General features: G+C 35.9%; 1 protein-coding gene across 1 annotated transcript in view, besides 2 other annotated features; it reads left to right on the forward strand.

Moving 5' to 3' along the window:
* Positions 1–17,213, forward strand: part of COG6 (component of oligomeric golgi complex 6) — a 136,040-nt gene that overhangs the window by 97,770 nt on the left and 21,057 nt on the right. The window lies entirely within an intron of this gene.
* Positions 14,431–14,931: an enhancer, noted in NCBI's record as "H3K4me1 hESC enhancer chr13:40341964-40342464 (GRCh37/hg19 assembly coordinates)". NCBI's record gives its function as "activates a minimal SCP1, AML or CMV promoter by ChIP-STARR-seq in naive H9 embryonic stem cells {active_cell/tissue: H9 hESC(naive)}" and the evidence as "EXISTENCE:reporter gene assay evidence [ECO:0000049][PMID:30033119]".
* Positions 14,932–15,432: an enhancer, noted in NCBI's record as "H3K4me1 hESC enhancer chr13:40342465-40342965 (GRCh37/hg19 assembly coordinates)". NCBI's record gives its function as "activates a minimal SCP1, AML or CMV promoter by ChIP-STARR-seq in naive H9 embryonic stem cells {active_cell/tissue: H9 hESC(naive)}" and the evidence as "EXISTENCE:reporter gene assay evidence [ECO:0000049][PMID:30033119]".

Genomic DNA, 17,213 nt, shown 5'->3' on the forward strand with positions numbered 1-17,213 from the left:
GCCAGCTAGTTTATGGTATTTTGGTACAGCAGTCTAAATGAACTAAGACAGACATTCAATATTGCTTTGTAATTCTACTCTTAACTTGCCATGTTTCCAGAGGACTTTTACACCCACATTCTCAGTTAATATCCTTCATAATTCACCAAGAATAGAAACTATTAGATTAATCTTCCTCATTTTCCTATTCTCAAACATCACACCCATCTCCTCTCCTTCCTTGTTTTGTACTTGAGATGTTATCTCTCTTTCTATGACAGGATATTCCCTCCATTATGCTCTGGCTCGCATCTCTCATCTTCTTATTAGATCCTTCTGTCTCTGGGTTATCCCTTCATTTTGCTTCAGCAACAACTGGCCTCTCTGTAGGATTATTCTCAATGTCATAAATAATGTTGTAATGTTCATAGTATTTTTAAAAACTCTCTACTCAGATCCTAACACTTCCATTTCTCTGCTTCCTTTCCTGGTTTAGACATGCTGTCGTCTACTTCCTTATTTCTCATTCTGTCTTTAAAGTATCCCAATATAGTTTCAGTCTCTCACTACTACACCGAAACTAACCTGATAAGCTTTTCATCAGTGCTATATGTTGTCAGATCTAGCAGATTCTTCTGTATCTCTATTTGTTGAACTCTCAGTGTCATTCTACACATTTCTGTTTGAAATTCTATCCTTTCCAGTCTTCCATGGCACCACTTTCTCCTAATTTTCCTCCCATTTCATTAACCCAACCCCCTTTTGACCTTCTTCCCTGGCTCTTTTGCCTCTATATGATTTCTAAAAGTTGGCATACTCTAGGGCTTGATCCTGGATACTTTTTTGTTTTAATCCTTCCTTTAGGGATTTGTTACTTCAACCTTTTCTATCCAGAATAATGTTAGCTTAAATGTCTTTAGATATATCCATATGATGGAGTACAGCAGTGAGAAAATGAATGGTTTTCAAGTACATAATGTTGAGAAAGAAATCAGAATAATATAATACTAATTTTATAGAATGTGGATACATGTAAAGGTGTAAGGAAAATATAGGAAATGATTAATACAATTTAAGATTATGGAGAGGGAAACACAGGATGTGTTGAAGTTACTGATAATGTTTTATTCTTATGCTAGGTTGTTAGTACTCTTAAATATTCTTTAAAATTTTTCATATATGTTACATAAACTTCTGTTCATATATTTTACAATTTTAAAAAATAGTTTAGAAATTTGCTTGGCATAGGGCCTGGGCTAAAGTTAGAACTCAATATATGAGAGCTATTTTTTTTCATTAGTCTTATCATTAAACACATTTCTTAAGTACCTACTAGGTAGTAGGCTTTGTGATAAGCATTTAAAAATATAACCAAATTATGTGTTTCCCGTTGAGGAATTCCCTGTCTTGCACAATGATAGTTACATGTATTGTAAATAAACATCATGAAATTTGGTAGAGTGCTTGTGCATGTTGGCAAGAAGAAAAAATGAACTAATATCATCCTTTATAATTCAGCCGGATGTCCTTGGTATAAGAGGTTGAGAGCACAGAAAACAAAGTTTCAAACCACAACTGTACATTGTTCAGTCTGAGATTATCATAATGATTGGGTTCTATTAACTATTTGGTTAAGATGTAAAATTATGTAATAGTGTGGTGAGAGGAAAAATGGTGGATTAAGGAACTTAAAAATTTTGTCCCTTCATAAAGGTAGCAATAAAACTGGCCTTCAAAAAATGATCAAAGTCAACTTTTTCAGGACTCGAGAAACTAATCAAAAGATCACAGTAACCTGAGTTACTTAAAAAAAGAGAAAAAAAAGCCAAATGTTAGTAATAACAGCAAGCATTTTGGTGTTTAACTTATGCCGTTTCCATACCTTGCTCCCTAGTTCAGCAGTAGTGTTGAAAAGAACACGCCACATTCATGGTATGGGAAAGAGCAGAATGGACCTTATTTGCAGATTATCCTTATTTGATCTGTCTGATAGCTCCCAGGAAAACCCATTTAAAAAACCGGCCTTTATCTTGCCTGTTATGGAACTCACCCTCTACTGGGGTGGGGGTGGGGAATTTATTTAAAACATTTACCTGTCATTGCTACATGAAGCAATGGGTAAAAGTTGGAGCAAACAATAAACTAACCAGAAAGCTTTGGAAGAAAGGTTGGGAATGAGATGTTCATAAGGACTTTGAAAAGCTCTTACGTATTTCTGGGAATCTAGAAGGCTCTGTGCATGTTTAGGACTGTGTGCATGTTCATGAATGAACAGAGAGACCGTAATCTCTCACCTCTGCCTGACCTTGAGGATCTGAGCAAGCAGGGAATGAAGGCAGAAGCAAAGTTAGAAGCTGCCTAGCTGAGTGTCCAAGACATGTCCCAACAGACACACAGAGTCCTTCAGCAAAGACTGAGCAATTTTTTGGTTTAGGCATTCAAGGAACTCTTCATCTAATCATTAGTTGACAATTAAGCTAATGAATCGGACACATAAGTGGTTACACATGACAAAGAATGTAGATTTTACAGAATGAGTTCATGAAAGTCACTAAAATATAATCACAGCTATAAAAGGCAGCAACAACAAACGGGGTGGGGCAAGAGAATCTAATCTGATTTCCAACAGATAGCCCAGATATTGAACTTATTAGACAAAGATTTTAACTATTTTAAATATGTTCAAGGATTTAAGGAAACCAAGTCTGAAGAACTAAAGTATGAGAAGAGTGTCTCACCAAATACAGAATATAATAAAGAGATACAATTATAAAAAGGAAGTTTTTAATACATTTATAATTTTAAAAGTTTAAAGTTACACTTTATAAAAATTATGAAAAACTTATTTGGACATGAGAATTAGTACACAGAATAAATAATACACTATAGGGGATAAAAGCAATTTTGAGCAGGCAGGAGAAAAAACTCAGAAAACTTGAAGGTGGGTCAGTTGAGATGTTCCAGTTTGAGGAAAAGGAAGAAAAAAAAATGAATGAAAGAAAATAGCCTCAGAGGCCTGTGGAGCACCGTCAACAATACACAAACAATAGGAGTCTCAGAGAAAAAGAGAAAGAGTCTGAAAGAATATTTGAAGAAATATTGTCAGGATACTAGAAATTTGGTGTAAAACATTACACATCCAAGAAGTTCACTGAGCTCCAAGTCGGATGAACTAAAAATATGTACACTGGGACACATCACAATCAAACTGTTATAAGCCAAAGGCTAAGAGGGAATCTTGAAAACACCAAGAGAGAGGTAATTCATCACGTACAAGTGATCCTCCATAAGATGAATATCCTAATTTCTCATCAGAAACTGTAGAAACCAAAAGGCATTAGCTGGTATATTCAAAGAGCTCTGGGCGGGGCGGGGGGCGGCAGTGGCGGGGGAACATATCTGTATCTGGCAAAACTGTGAAAACATAGGAGAAATTAAGACATTCCCAGATGAACAAAAACTGAGAATTCATTGTTGGCCAACCTGCCCTAAGTGATTGCTCAACGGAGTACTTGGAGCTGAAATGAAAGGACGCTAGACAAAAAAATCACCAAAAGACTTAAAGAATAACAAGGAAATCGAACACTCAGTAGCTATTCTAAATCACCTAGATCCCATAGACATCAGTGGAACAATCCACCCAACAACAACAGAATACACATTCCTCTCAAATACACAGGGAACACTCTCCAAGATAGACCATATGTTAGGCCACAATACAAGTCTCAATAAATTTTAAAAGATTGAAATTATACAAAGTATGTTTTCAACCACAATGACATTGTAAATTAATAACAAAAGGAAATTTTTAAAATATACTAACATGTGGAAATTAAACAAGATGCTCTTAACCCAGTGGAACAAGGAAGAAATCACGAAGGAAACTAGAAAATACTCTGAGATGAAAGTTTGTAATGAAACACCATACCAAATCTTATGAAATGCAGCAAAAATAGTTCTGAGAGAAATTTATAGCCTACCTTAAAGAGAAAGAAATAAATTAACCTAATCAATAACCTTAAGAAACATAAAAGAAGAGCAAACTAAACCTAATGCAAGAAAAAAGGAAATAATAAAGATTATAACAGAGACAAAGAAAATGGAGACTAGAAAAATGATATAGAAGATTAATAAAACCAAAAGTTAATTCTCTGAAAGGATAGAAACATTGACTAATCTTTAGCTGACTGAACAATAAAAAAAAAAAGACTCAAATTACTAAAGTATGAAACGGGACATTACTGAACTTACAGAAATAAGGATAACAGAATTCTATTAATAATTATATGCAAACCAGTGGAAGTGGACAAATGAAAAACACAAAGTACCAAAATCAACTCAAGAAGAAATATAAAATCTGAATAGAACTATGGCAACAAGATGGAGTCAGTAATCAAAAAACTCCCAACAAGAACAAAGCCCAGTGAATTGCTTCCCTGGTGAATTCACTGGTGGTTTCACATCCATGTATAAGTGGACCCACGCAGTTCAAACCCGTATTGCTCAAGGATCGGCTGTGTATCCAAAATAAACTCTTGCAATTCAACAATAAAAAGACAACCGAGGGCTGGCACAGTGGCTCATGCCTGTAATCCCAGCACTTTGGGAGGCCGAGGCAGGCAGATCATGAAGTCAAGAGATCGAGACCATCCTGTCCAACATGGTGAAACCCCGTCTCTACTAAAAATACAAAAATTAGCTGGGCGTGGTGGCGGATGCCTGTAGTCCCAGCTACTCGGGAGGCTGAGGCAGGAGAATCACTTGAACCTGGGAGGTGAAGGTTTCGGTGAGTCGAGATTGTGCCACTGCACTTCGGCCTGGCGACAGAGCGAGATGCCTTCTCAAAAAAAAAAAAAAAAAAAAAAAATGACGAGCTGGACGCGGTGGCTCATGCCTGTGATCCCAGCACTAGGTGAGAAGATTGCTGGAGGCCAGGAATTCAAGAGCAGCCTGAGAAACATAGCAAGACCCCATCTCTGCAAAATAATAATTTTGGGGCATCAAGTTCTTCCTTGAAAAACAAAACAAAAGACAACTAAATTTTAAAGTGTGCCAAGTATTTGAATAGGTAAAGAAGATGCACAGATAGCTAACCCTAACCCTAACATGAAAAAATGATCAGCATCATTAGTCATTAGGGAAATGCAAGTCAGAATCACAATGAGATTCTACTTTGCACATACTAAGGTGGCTATAATGTTAGTAATTTTAGAAGCTGGTATGATGTGGAGAAATTGGAACTCCCATATGTTGCTGGTGGGGATATAAAGTGGTACAGCTGATGTGGAAAACAGTTTAACAAACAGTTCCTCAAAAGAGTTATGATATGACCTAGCAATTCTATGCCTAGGCTTTTACCCAAGATAATTGAAAATTTATGTCTACCAAGACTTTTACATGAATATTCATGGCAGCACTTATAATAACTGAAAATTAGAAATAACTGAAATATCCATCAGCTAATGAATGGATAAACAAAATGTGGTATATCCATACAATGAAATATTATTCATTTATAAAAAGGAATGGACTACTGAAACATGCTACAACATGGATGAATCTTGAAAACATTATTCTAATTAGAAGCCAAGCACAAAAGGCTATATATAATTTGATTCTATTTTAATGAAATCTCCAGAATAGGCAAATCCACAGAGACATATAAGTAGATTAGCAGTTTCCAGGGGACAGGGAGAGGAACTGATCGGGAAGAGACAGCTAACAGGTACTTTTTGGAGTGATAGAAATGTCCTGGAACTACACAGTGATGATGATTGCACAGCATTGAATATACTAAAAGCCACTGGATTGTGCTCTTTTTAAAATGGTAAATTTTATGTTATATGAATTTTTTCTTAAAGTAAATTGCAAATATAATGGAATTAAAACAGGCCTGTTCTCATGTCTTAATTGTGATCTTTTGTGTTTTTGTGATCTGATGGCCTCTTTTGAAAACCAAAAATTGAGGAATATTTTCCTTGAACCTGGTGATAGTACTGATATATAATTGTCCAGTCTTGGAATATTTACCAGTTTTTTTATACACTATGGACTTTAAAATAAATATGTAAGTAAAATGCAGAGTCATATAATAATATTGAATACTTGCAGGTCAGTTAATCTTTCCTAATTTAGTTAAATATGCTGTTTAGAATAATAAATAGGCCTACATATGGTTACTTTGGGGCTATAATTATATTAAGCACAATTACCTATCATCTTGAATTTGCATACTTACTTCACCTCTGAGAGAATGTGCTTTGGAAGATAGATAATATAATTATGTATTTTTGCAGGTCCAAATATGAAATTTCTATAAACTAGCTGAGAAATGAATGTAATAGTAATAATTAGATTAATAACAGCATATTAGTCTATCAAATCCAACTACCCTTAATGCCAGTGAATGTTAAAAGTAAAACTTTCTTAGCACTGACAATTTAATAAGTAAAAATAAATGGTACTAAGCTTACAAAAATTAGCTGAATTGGGGAAATTGTTGATAAGGCCACAAGTATTAACATGTTATACTTGCTTGCTTTGAGGGTATATAGCATCTTTTGGCAAAGTGTTACATTATTGTGAATTTAACAGTGAAAGTTTAAGCCAGTCTAGGATTTCAAAGTTTATAACTTTACTACCAGGAAATTAATTTACTTAAATATGTTCTTTGTTTCCATCAATGTCAACATCTGAAATTCCACTGGAGAAGTATTAGCTTTGGCCTACTAAAAGCAAAATGACAAGAAGCAAGAATGCAAGCCAGCATCAAAAATTGGTCTCCTGTTTTGAGATTGCCCCGAGTCTTTCTGGGGGTATCATTTATATAAGTCTAATTTTCGGGATTCAGGCAAGAGCTGGCCATTGTTGTGCTAGCTGGGCCTCCAGTGGAATGTAAAATGATAATGAAGATTGAACTGAGGTAGAAAAATGAATTTACCTTAGAAAGGACACCAAAGATTTGATTAGTATTCCACATAGTTGCCATACGTATTTAATTGCAGACTAGGAATTTTTCTTGCTTTAAACTATTAGATTCTTTTACAGACAAAGATATAAGCAAGCCAAGCATTAAAAAGCCAAAAAGGTGCTGCTAAAAAAGAAAATAAACCACAAAAACAGAAAGAACATCTCAATGTACCCTGCCTTTATTCTAAATCTTACAAAAAAGAAAATAATTTCTCCACTGAACTATTAATAGGTTAATATAATGAATCATACAATAACAAACCATAATAGAATTTGCATTAACCAAAAAATGTGCAAACACACTACTATGATTTACCAAAAGACTCTCTGCAAGTGGTAAATCATTAGCTCTAGTGTTGCTCTTTGTAACCTCAGGTCTTTGGGGAATGGTGCAGAATTAGTATTGCTTCCTTCTTTCTGTGTGTGATAATGGTGGGGGAAGGCTAGTACCATCTCTGTCATACATCAAATTCCCATATGTGAATAAATTTATGTATTTTTACTGCACTCTTTTTATAGGTTTATTCATTCCTGCACCAACAACGAATGCCATTATTATAACTTTATAGAAAGTCTCAATATATGGCACAGTGCTTCATTTTCTTTTTTTCATCTAGAGTGCCTTAGCCATTCTTGGCTTTCTGCTGTTCCACAAATAGCAATGTAAATTTGTCAGTATAATAGAGAATCCACTTATATTTCTTCAACAGCTATTGGGAATATGGTTGGGATTACTTCAACTCTATGTATCAATTTGAGGAGAATTGATATCTTTATAAGATTAATCCAAATCACAGCATGTCAAAATTTCCTTATTAGGGTAGTTTTAATGTCCTTCAAAAACACTGTAATTTTCTTCATATAGATCTAAGAAAACTTTGGTGTTTATTCCTAAGAAATTTATAGTTCTTGTTTTGTAAATGATATCTATTCTTAAGTTACACTTAAACTTATTTGTTGCTGTATATAGAAATGGAATTGACTTCTATGTACAGCAGTTGCAAACTGATATTCATATGCAGAAAGTGAAACTAGACCCCTAATGGATAAAAGACTTAAATGTAAGACCTGAAAGTATGAAACTACTAGAAGAAAACATATGGGAAACACTTCAGTACCCTGGCCTGGGTGAAGATTTTATGGAGAAAACCTCAAAAGCATAGGCAACAAAAGCAAAAATGGACAAATAGGATTATATCAAACTAAAAAGATTCAGCACAGTAAAAGAAATAATCAATAGAGTGAAGAGACAACCTTCAGAAGATATTTGCAAACTATTCATCTGACAAGGGATTAATATTTAGAACATACAAGGACCTCAAACAACTGAGCAACAACAACAAAAATATCCAATTTTAAAAATGGGCGAAAGAGCCAAATAAACATCTCTGAAAACCAGACGCAAGTGGCCAACAGGTATATGAAAAAAAAAAAAATGCTGAACACCGCTAATCATCAGGGAAATGCAAACCAATACCACAATGAGATATTATCTCATTTTGGCTATTATCAAAAAGAGAAAAAATAACAAATGTTGACAAGAATGCACAGAAATGGGAATGCATATGCTGTTGTAAATTAGTCCAGCCACTATGGAAAACAGTATAGAGATTCCTCTAAAAACTAAAAATAGAACTACCATATGATCCAGCAATCTCACTACTGGGTATATATCTAAAGGGAATTATGGATATGTTGAAGAGACATTTTATTTTTACTCCAATGTTTATTGCAGCACTATTCACAATAGCCAAGATATGGAATCAACTTGTGTCCTTTAACAGATGAGTAGATAAAGAAAATGTGGCATATATACGCAGTGGAATACTATTTAGCCATAAAAAATAACAAAATTATCTCATTTGTGCCAACATGGATAACTTGGAGGACATTGTATATTTAGTGAAATAAGCCAGGCACAGAAATATAAATACTGCATGTTCTCACTCAGGTGAAAGATAAAAACATTGATCTCATAGAAGTAGAAAGTAGAATAATTGATACTAGAGGCAGGGACATGTAAGGAGATGGGAGTGGGGATAGTCAGAGGTTGGTTAATGGATACAAAAGTACAGCTAAATAGTAGAAATAAGTTCTAGTGTTCTATAGCACTGTAGGGTGACTGTAATTAACAACAATCTATTGTATATTTTCAAGTAGCTAGAAGATTTTGAATGTGTCTTACAGAAATGATAAACATTTGAGGTGATGGACATGCTGATTACCCTGTTAGATCATTACACATGGATACATGTATCAAAATATCACACTGTACCCCATAAATAAGTACAATTAAAAAATAAGTGGAATTGATTTTATATGTTGATTATAATAGATCGAGGCACCTTCATAATATTATTTTCCGTGATTTTTCTTTGAGTTTTCTCTATATAGATCTATTTGAGACAAAATAAGAGTTTTTTTTTTTTTTTTCTTTGAAGCCTATGTACCCTTTATTTCTTTTTCTTTTCTTTTATGCTGGCTAGAACCTCCAGCAGAATGTTAACTAATAGCAATGATAATGGTTACTTTTCTTAATTCAGATTTCAGTATCTCACCATAAAGAATTATACTTGCTCTAAGTTTTCAGCAGATAATCTTTATCAGAGAGGAAGTTATTTTGTATTCTCACATGCTGTTATTAATTATGAATGGACGTTGAATTTTAAGTGACTTTCAGAATCTATTGAGATGATCACTTGGCTTTTCTCCTTTATTTGTTAATGTGATGAATTATATTTATAATTTTCCTGGCATTAAATCACTCTTGCATTCCCAAAATAAGCCTAAGTTGATCATATTATTTTCCCTTTCTGTATAAATCACTGGATTTAGTTTTGTATGTTTTTGTATATTTAGTAGCAACCTTGCTAAATTTACTTATTAATTGTAAGCGTTATTTGTGTATTATTTTGTATTTTCTAAATTGGCAAGCACACAATCTATATAATTAGTGACAGTTTTCTTTCTACCTTTTTATCGTTTCTTGCTATGTGGCACTACATAATGTTTAACCATTTACAGTGTTACAAAGTTGAATAGAAATGGTAATTGCGGTCACCCTTGTCTTTTTCCAAAATGTGGGGAAGGAGAGGAAGCTTTCAATTGTTAGATAGGTATTTTGTAGATAAGCTTTATCAAATTAAGAAAGTTCCTTTCTGTTCCTGGTGTGTCATGATTATTTTAAATAACAAATAAGTATTGAATTTTATCAATTTTTTTTCTGTATCTATTTAGAGATCAATACAGAAAAATAATAGAGAATCCACCTATATTTCTTCAACAACTGTTGGGAATGTGGTTGGGATTACTTTGACTCTAAGTATCAATTTGGGGAGAATTGATATCTGTGCCTCCCCCCTTTTACTTACTTAATATGGAGAATTTCAAACATCAGCCTTGCATTTCTGAAATAAACCCAGTGGTCATAATGTACTATCCTTTTTATATATCTTTTTATTTTATATGATAACACTTCATTTAGGATTTTTACATCTTTGTTCATGAGAAAGATTGCCCTGTAATTTTCCTTTGTTTAAAGGTCTTTGTCAGGTTTTGATAACAGGATAATACTGGCCTCATAAAACAAATTGGTACATATTCTCTCTGTTATCTGGAAGAATGTAAGATTGTTATTACTTCTTTCTTAAATGTTTAGAAGAGTTTCAAGTAGAGCCAACTAAACCTGGAGATGCCTTTGTGGGAAGGTTTTTAATTAAAAATCCCATTTTCTAAATAGACGTAAAACTGTTTGGTTGTTCTATTTCTTCTTGTGTCAGTTTTGGTAAATTTTATTTTGCAAGGTATATGTCCATTTCATCTAACCGTTTTTGTCATAATGTTCTATCATTTTAGTTTTTTAAGGTCTGTAGACCTAATATTGGTAATTTGTGTTTTCTTTCTTTCTTTTTTTCCTTGGTTAGTCTTGGAAGAATTATGAATTTTATTTATCCTTTCAAAGAACCTATGTTTTACTTGGTTGATTTTTTTTTTATTGTATATTTGTTTTCTATTTCATTTATTTTTGCTCTATATTTTTCCTTCCTTTTACTTTCTTGGTATTTTATTTTCTCCTCTTTTTCTTTTCTTGAAATGGAAGCTTATATTATTGATTTTCAGACCTTTTTCTGTTGTAATGTATTCATTTAAATATATTTAATGTGTTCATCTGTGTTTCCATCTAAGCACAGGTTTAGCTATATCCATAAGCTTTTATATGTCATATTTTCATTACCTTTTACTTCAGAAGTATTTGCTAATTTCCATTGTGATTTATTGTTTGACTCATAGATTACTTAGAAATATATTTTCAAACATATGAATGTTTTCTGGTTATTTTTATATTACTGATTTCAAGCTTAATTCCGCTATAACCAGAAAATGTATTCCTAGTATCATCCTTTTGATATTTATTCATACGTACTTTATGGTCCAACATATGATTTGTTTTAGTAAATTGTTCTTTCTAGATTTAGAAATGTTTTCTGTAGTATTGGGTGCAGTGCTCTGCATATGGTAAAAGGATAAATTTTGTTAATCTTGTTTAAATCATCTATAGCCTTTCTGATTTTTAATCTGCATAGTGTATCAGCTACTGAGAGATACTTGTTAAATAACTATGATTGTGGATTTTTCTGTATTTTTAGTTTTGTCAGTTTTTGCTTTATATGTTTTTACGCTATTTCTAGATATATAAATTCTATCTATTATGATTTCTTCTTTGAACTATGTGTTACTTAGAAGTATGTTATTTGCATTTTTGCTATTAAAGTTTTTAGCAAGGAAATAAGGCAATCAAATTTGTTCCTTAAAAAAGAGTCGCTAAGAGACTTCCTTCTGCCATGCCCTCTGATATCTCTCTCTTTCTGTCTCCTATTCCACAGTTTATAAAAATTAACTGTAGACTTACCAATTAAGCCAATCACGGATATATGAATTACTGGCAGTTCCATTTGCTTTGATCCCATGGTAAATTAAGCAAATCCTCACAGCATATTGAGGCCCTATTCATATTGTTCACTTATCCTTCTCTCCCAGACCCTGGATTGGGTGAGTGGGATTCTGTTGGTTCTAGCTGATTTTTGAATACTAGCATATGACTTTAATCTCTGAAAGATCTAGATATCTCATATACTAGAAATAATCTTATTTCACTCACTGAAATGACCTTAATCCCAAAATGTGTTATGGTACTCAATCACATTAACAAGTTTAAGCAAGTATGTCAGATTGATTTCCAGCTTTTGGTGTTTTAAGATAAAATGTGAATCCTTTTTTTAACTGTATGTTGCAACTTTCCTTCTAGGTGGTTTCTTGAACAAAATAAAGCAGTTTTCTTACTGGGTAGACATCCTGCTTTAAAAATTATTCATAATCTGGAGCCTAAACTTAATGTAAAACTCTGAGTTTGGTTTATATCCAATAGCCTAAGGTTTCATAGAATTTTGGTGGTCGGCAAAGGAATTACTGGAATAAAAATATCACAGCTTCTGTGCTGTGTGCAGATACTTACTGAGTGTAATGAAGGAATTACTCTCTAACCGAGCACATATTCTGAGCAATTAGGCCAAGTGCCAAAACCATTAAGGCTCAAATGCCAAGTGCCTGTAGGGAGGGTTCTGTTACAGGATTTAGCAACCCAACCCTTGGCTCACTTACCAGAGGGTGGCACTCCAGGCTTCCTGATAACTGTGCCAGCCTGGCTGAGACTCAGCAGCTGCCATCCAGCCACTTCTGGCTTCTGGACCCTCTCCCCAGTACTGCCTCTGTCTCCACCCTTCTCGCCCATCTGCCCCTCCATCTGCCTGTCAGTTGAGCAGTGGCTACACAGTTGGGGACACCTTACATGTTGAGTCATGACTCCCAGCTAACACATTGCATTCACCTTCCCTGTTCCTCCACCACCTACCAATACTTCTCCCACTTGGCAACTTGAAAGGAAAGGGTTGCCAATTTCTGTTTCATAACATTTCAGGGGCTTCCATTCAGAGGCTTCTGGAGTATCCTGGCACTCAAGGAAACTGGGCATGGAGGTGGAGTAGGGAGAGCCACTCAGAGGATTCTGGGCATCCAGTCACCCCTGGCCCATTCCCAAAAAAACCTGGGGGAACAAGAGTAGCCTTTGTAACTCCAAATTTCATCAAGATGAGCTGAAATCTGGTTCTGTCATTTCCCCATCCTACCCCATCCCATACTCCCTCCTAACCCCATCCCATACTCCCTCCTAACCCCATCCCAAAACCAGAGCAGTGGAATATCTTAACAATTTGACTTTTATCCAGAACTGAGGCTCTTTATTTGTTAGAACTAAGCATTTGGTCCAAGATTTTCTAATTCTTTCTGTGGGAACTTGAATCAGCACCCCCTCCCCAAGCTCCCACAGAAGAAGCAGATGGGGATCTTGGCAAGGTTTGGAAGTCCAGGACTTGGACAGGTTGAGAGTTCTATTTGCCAGGCTGAATTGCTTGTAATTAAAAAGCTTATCCTCCTACTTTTTTGCGCTTCTGAACTTATCTGAAGAATCAACAGAGTATTTAATCATGCATAGAAACAAATCTGTGCATATAAGTGAAAATCTGCATTTAAAGGCAGGTGCTTACCAGGAGAGATGAGTCACGTAAGCTGGTTAGGGTGAAGTTAAGCTCTCTAATGTTGACTTGACATGTCTTGTTTTAAAGGGTGATAGGGTATGATCAGTGTTTTGTGTACAGGTTAGGGCTGGGGTATGGAACTCTACCCCCTTCCTTCTCTATTTGTTTCCTTCATCTCCTTGCCTAAAAAGTGCCTACAATAAGCACTCTGCATATTTTGGGTCTTCTTAGTGACACTTACTGACACCAGATTGTTAACGTTTATCTGCTTTCTACAACAGAAAAGAAAATAACTCATTAGTCTTGACATTTTAATGTGTGAGGGTTTTGAGACAAAAAATAATTTGGCTCCTTCCGGACTAAGTTGTGCTAATTGCCAGATTGTACTCATGTTAGGAAATTGAGAACAAAGTGAAGCATGACCACTTGAGGCTCTTGGGATAATGAGAGTTTTAGGTTATTGTCAGAAATTACGGATTTTTTTCTTGAAAATATTTTAAAGGAGGTGAGTAGGTGACATTTTTCCCCCTTCAGGAGTTCTTACTGGGGGCATTGATGATTTTCGGAGTGGAAGTGGAGGTGGCAATGGCAGGAAACATTGTAGTTTATGTACCACATGTTAGCAAAGAAGGGCGTTCTCTCTGTGTGTGTTAGTGGTGGGAGCATTTACTAAATCTAACCAAAGCCTGATTGTGTACAGACTTTCAGGGAAGGAGCAGAAGATGTTACTTTTATGGGCTCCCTTACAGGGTGATAAAGACTTGTGCGGCTGCTTGGAAGTATTTCACCCCTGCAGTCATGTTCCTTTCACTCAGGCCAACAGCCTCAACTCCAGCTCTGAATCTGCCACGAAGGCAACTAGACATGAAAAGTCCCAATTTTACAGCTTGCTCTGGTAGCCATGCCAAGGTGAGCTAGAGACAGCAAAGGGATAGAAAAGCATTGCTAAACTGGAGCTTTGATTTTAAAAATGGAGACCTGCTGGCAAAAGATGAGACTTGGTTACATTTAGTCAGTCCCAACTCTGAGCTGTCATTGCACAAGAGCAGCCACAAGCCGGGGGTTTCCACATGCTGTCCATTAGGAACCAGGGTCTCTTCTATCTAGGTGGCACTGCCAGGCACTCTCAGATCTTACCTGCTCACATTCATTTATGTAACTTCTCTTTCTTGCAGTTTAACACACATGTCTGTCTATCTCTTTCACACTCACACACAATGAGATTTAGTAACCCATTTTAATGAGGCAATTATATTTTAACTCTATTATGTGCAATTATGCACTCTTTTAAATTGCCTCAGCTGGAGTGCCCTGGTGTTGGTATCTCACTGGCACTTACTTGCTGGTCCCTGGGGACCAGCTGGGCAGCTGAACCCGGAACACTGCCACTCCTCCTGGCCCCTACTGCCACTCCACAGGTGGCTTAGCACTGCCACAGGGCGGGACAATTGCAATTTCCTGGCCCACCCAGTGGAGCTCTTGATTGCTGTGTGGGTGGCCTAGATCTTTCTCATCTGCTTTGCTGTACCAGCAGGATTGTTTATCCAGGGCTCAGAGCCCCAGGTAGTCCTCTAGCTTGGAGGGGCCAGAAAAACAAACCTGGATAATCATAGCCATGCCCTTAATCTGATGTTTTTTCTTTTTAGTCATCTAGGCTCTAGGTTCCTGGGGGTGGGAGTCAGAAGCAGAGACTCCTAATACACTCATCTTCATACTACCTTTGCAGTCAAGGCTCAGTGGTAACTTTTCATAAGAAAGTTGTAATTACGTGATATCTGCTTCATTTAAAATAATATATGATACTATTATATATCATAATATATATAATATGCAGGCACCTATAGACTTCACTACTCAACTCAATAACTGGAATGTTTCAAATACTCTTGCATCTGCCTGTGCATATGTATCCCACCCCCCGCCTACCATCAGAGGGAAGCATTTGCTTGAATTTTGCCCTGACCTTTCACTTGATTTTTTTAAGGTTTTATCACATATGTATGTATCCCTATTCATTATTTTTTAGTTTTGCATATTAAGGTAAAATTATTCTGTAGGTAGCCTTCTGTAATGTTTTTTCCCCACTTAACATAATGTTAAGATTCATCTCTGCACCTCTGTGGAGTTGTAGTTCATTTATCTTCATTGCTGTATAATCCACTGTGACAAGTTAGTCACCCTCCTGTCAACAGAATGTCTGGAGCTTTTCTAAAGTCTTTTGTTTCTTTAGCATTGTGAACAATGCTTCCATAACACTCCTATGTACACATACTAGTGTTATGCATGAGAATTTCCCTACCTTGGAGTGAAATTCCTAGGTTACAGAATATGAGAATGTTCAAGATTATAAGAGAGTGCCAAATTGTTTTTCAGAGTGGTTGAACCAACTTATACTTTCTCCAGCCAGGCAGTTGCAATATTCCAGATTACCATGTTCTGTGTCCCATGTGATATTAAGAGTACATTTAGAAATGAATTCCAGCTGTTGGCCGTGGGACCTGGGAAAGATTACTTGCTCTCTCTAAGCCTGTTTTCTCATCTGCAAAGTAGGAATTATAAATTGCATTAAGGTATAGGTTTATTGTGAGAACTAAAATAATCTGTGCAAAGCCAGGTAATCTAGTACAGAGCTAGATACACAATAGTGTCCAACAATTATTAGAAATTATTATTTTATGTTAAAACTGAAGAGTAGAGGGAAATAGTCGAATACAGTACTGCTATAGTCTGAAAGTTTCTGTCTCCCCTGAAATTCATATGTTGAAACCTAACCCCCAAGGTAATGGTATTAAGAGAGCGGGGCCTTCGGTTGGTGATTAGGTCATGTGGCTGGATCCCTCATGAAAGGGTTTTGTGCCCTTATAAAATAGGCATGAGAGAGCTTGTTTGCCTCTTCCACCACGTGGAAGGTCCCATCTTTGAAGCAGAGAACAAGCCCTCACCAGACTCTGAATCTGCTGATGCCTTTGATCTTGGACTTCCCAGCTCCTAGAACTGTGAGCAATACATTTCTGTTTATAAATTACCCAGTCGAAGGTATTTTGTTAAGCAGCCCGAACTAACTAAAACAAGTAGCTAACATCTAGCAGTCATGCTGTTGAACTCTTTACCTTATAGTACCACACACAATTTAAATCTGTCCTGCAAAGAAAATTAGAAATCAATATCGGGAAGTGAAAATATTCTCCAGTTCATATCACAAGTGGTAGGCAGTTTGGTAATTTATCTAATTAACACCCACGACTACTGCTATTGTCTTACACATATTAGTTAGGTTTTCTTTTTGGGCTGCAGTGGAATGCCACTGACCTCAGCACTCCAGAAGACAACACATGCCACACAAAGACTCCCTCACATTGACGGAGGTGTCCTTAGAGACAGCTAACAGGGATGCTAAGAGCAGCCAACATTTCCACAGGGCTTTCACAAAGCGCATTCATGTATGGCCTCTCATTAGCCTCCTCACTGAGGTCCTCAAAGTTACATGTTATTTCTCATTCAATTTTTACAGATAAAGCAGCAACAGTAAGAGACAATTAAGTGATTTGTCTTATATGACAGAAGCTTGACTGAAGCCCAGGTCTTCTGTCACTGGATCCAGTATTTTTTTCCACTGCCTCACCCTGCCCCCTGTATTATGCTCCATAGTACGTGTTTATCGTGTTTATTCATTTT

The sequence above is a fragment of the Homo sapiens genome, chromosome 13, assembly GCF_000001405.40.
Source record: "Homo sapiens chromosome 13, GRCh38.p14 Primary Assembly".
Taxonomy (NCBI): domain Eukaryota; kingdom Metazoa; phylum Chordata; class Mammalia; order Primates; family Hominidae; genus Homo; species Homo sapiens.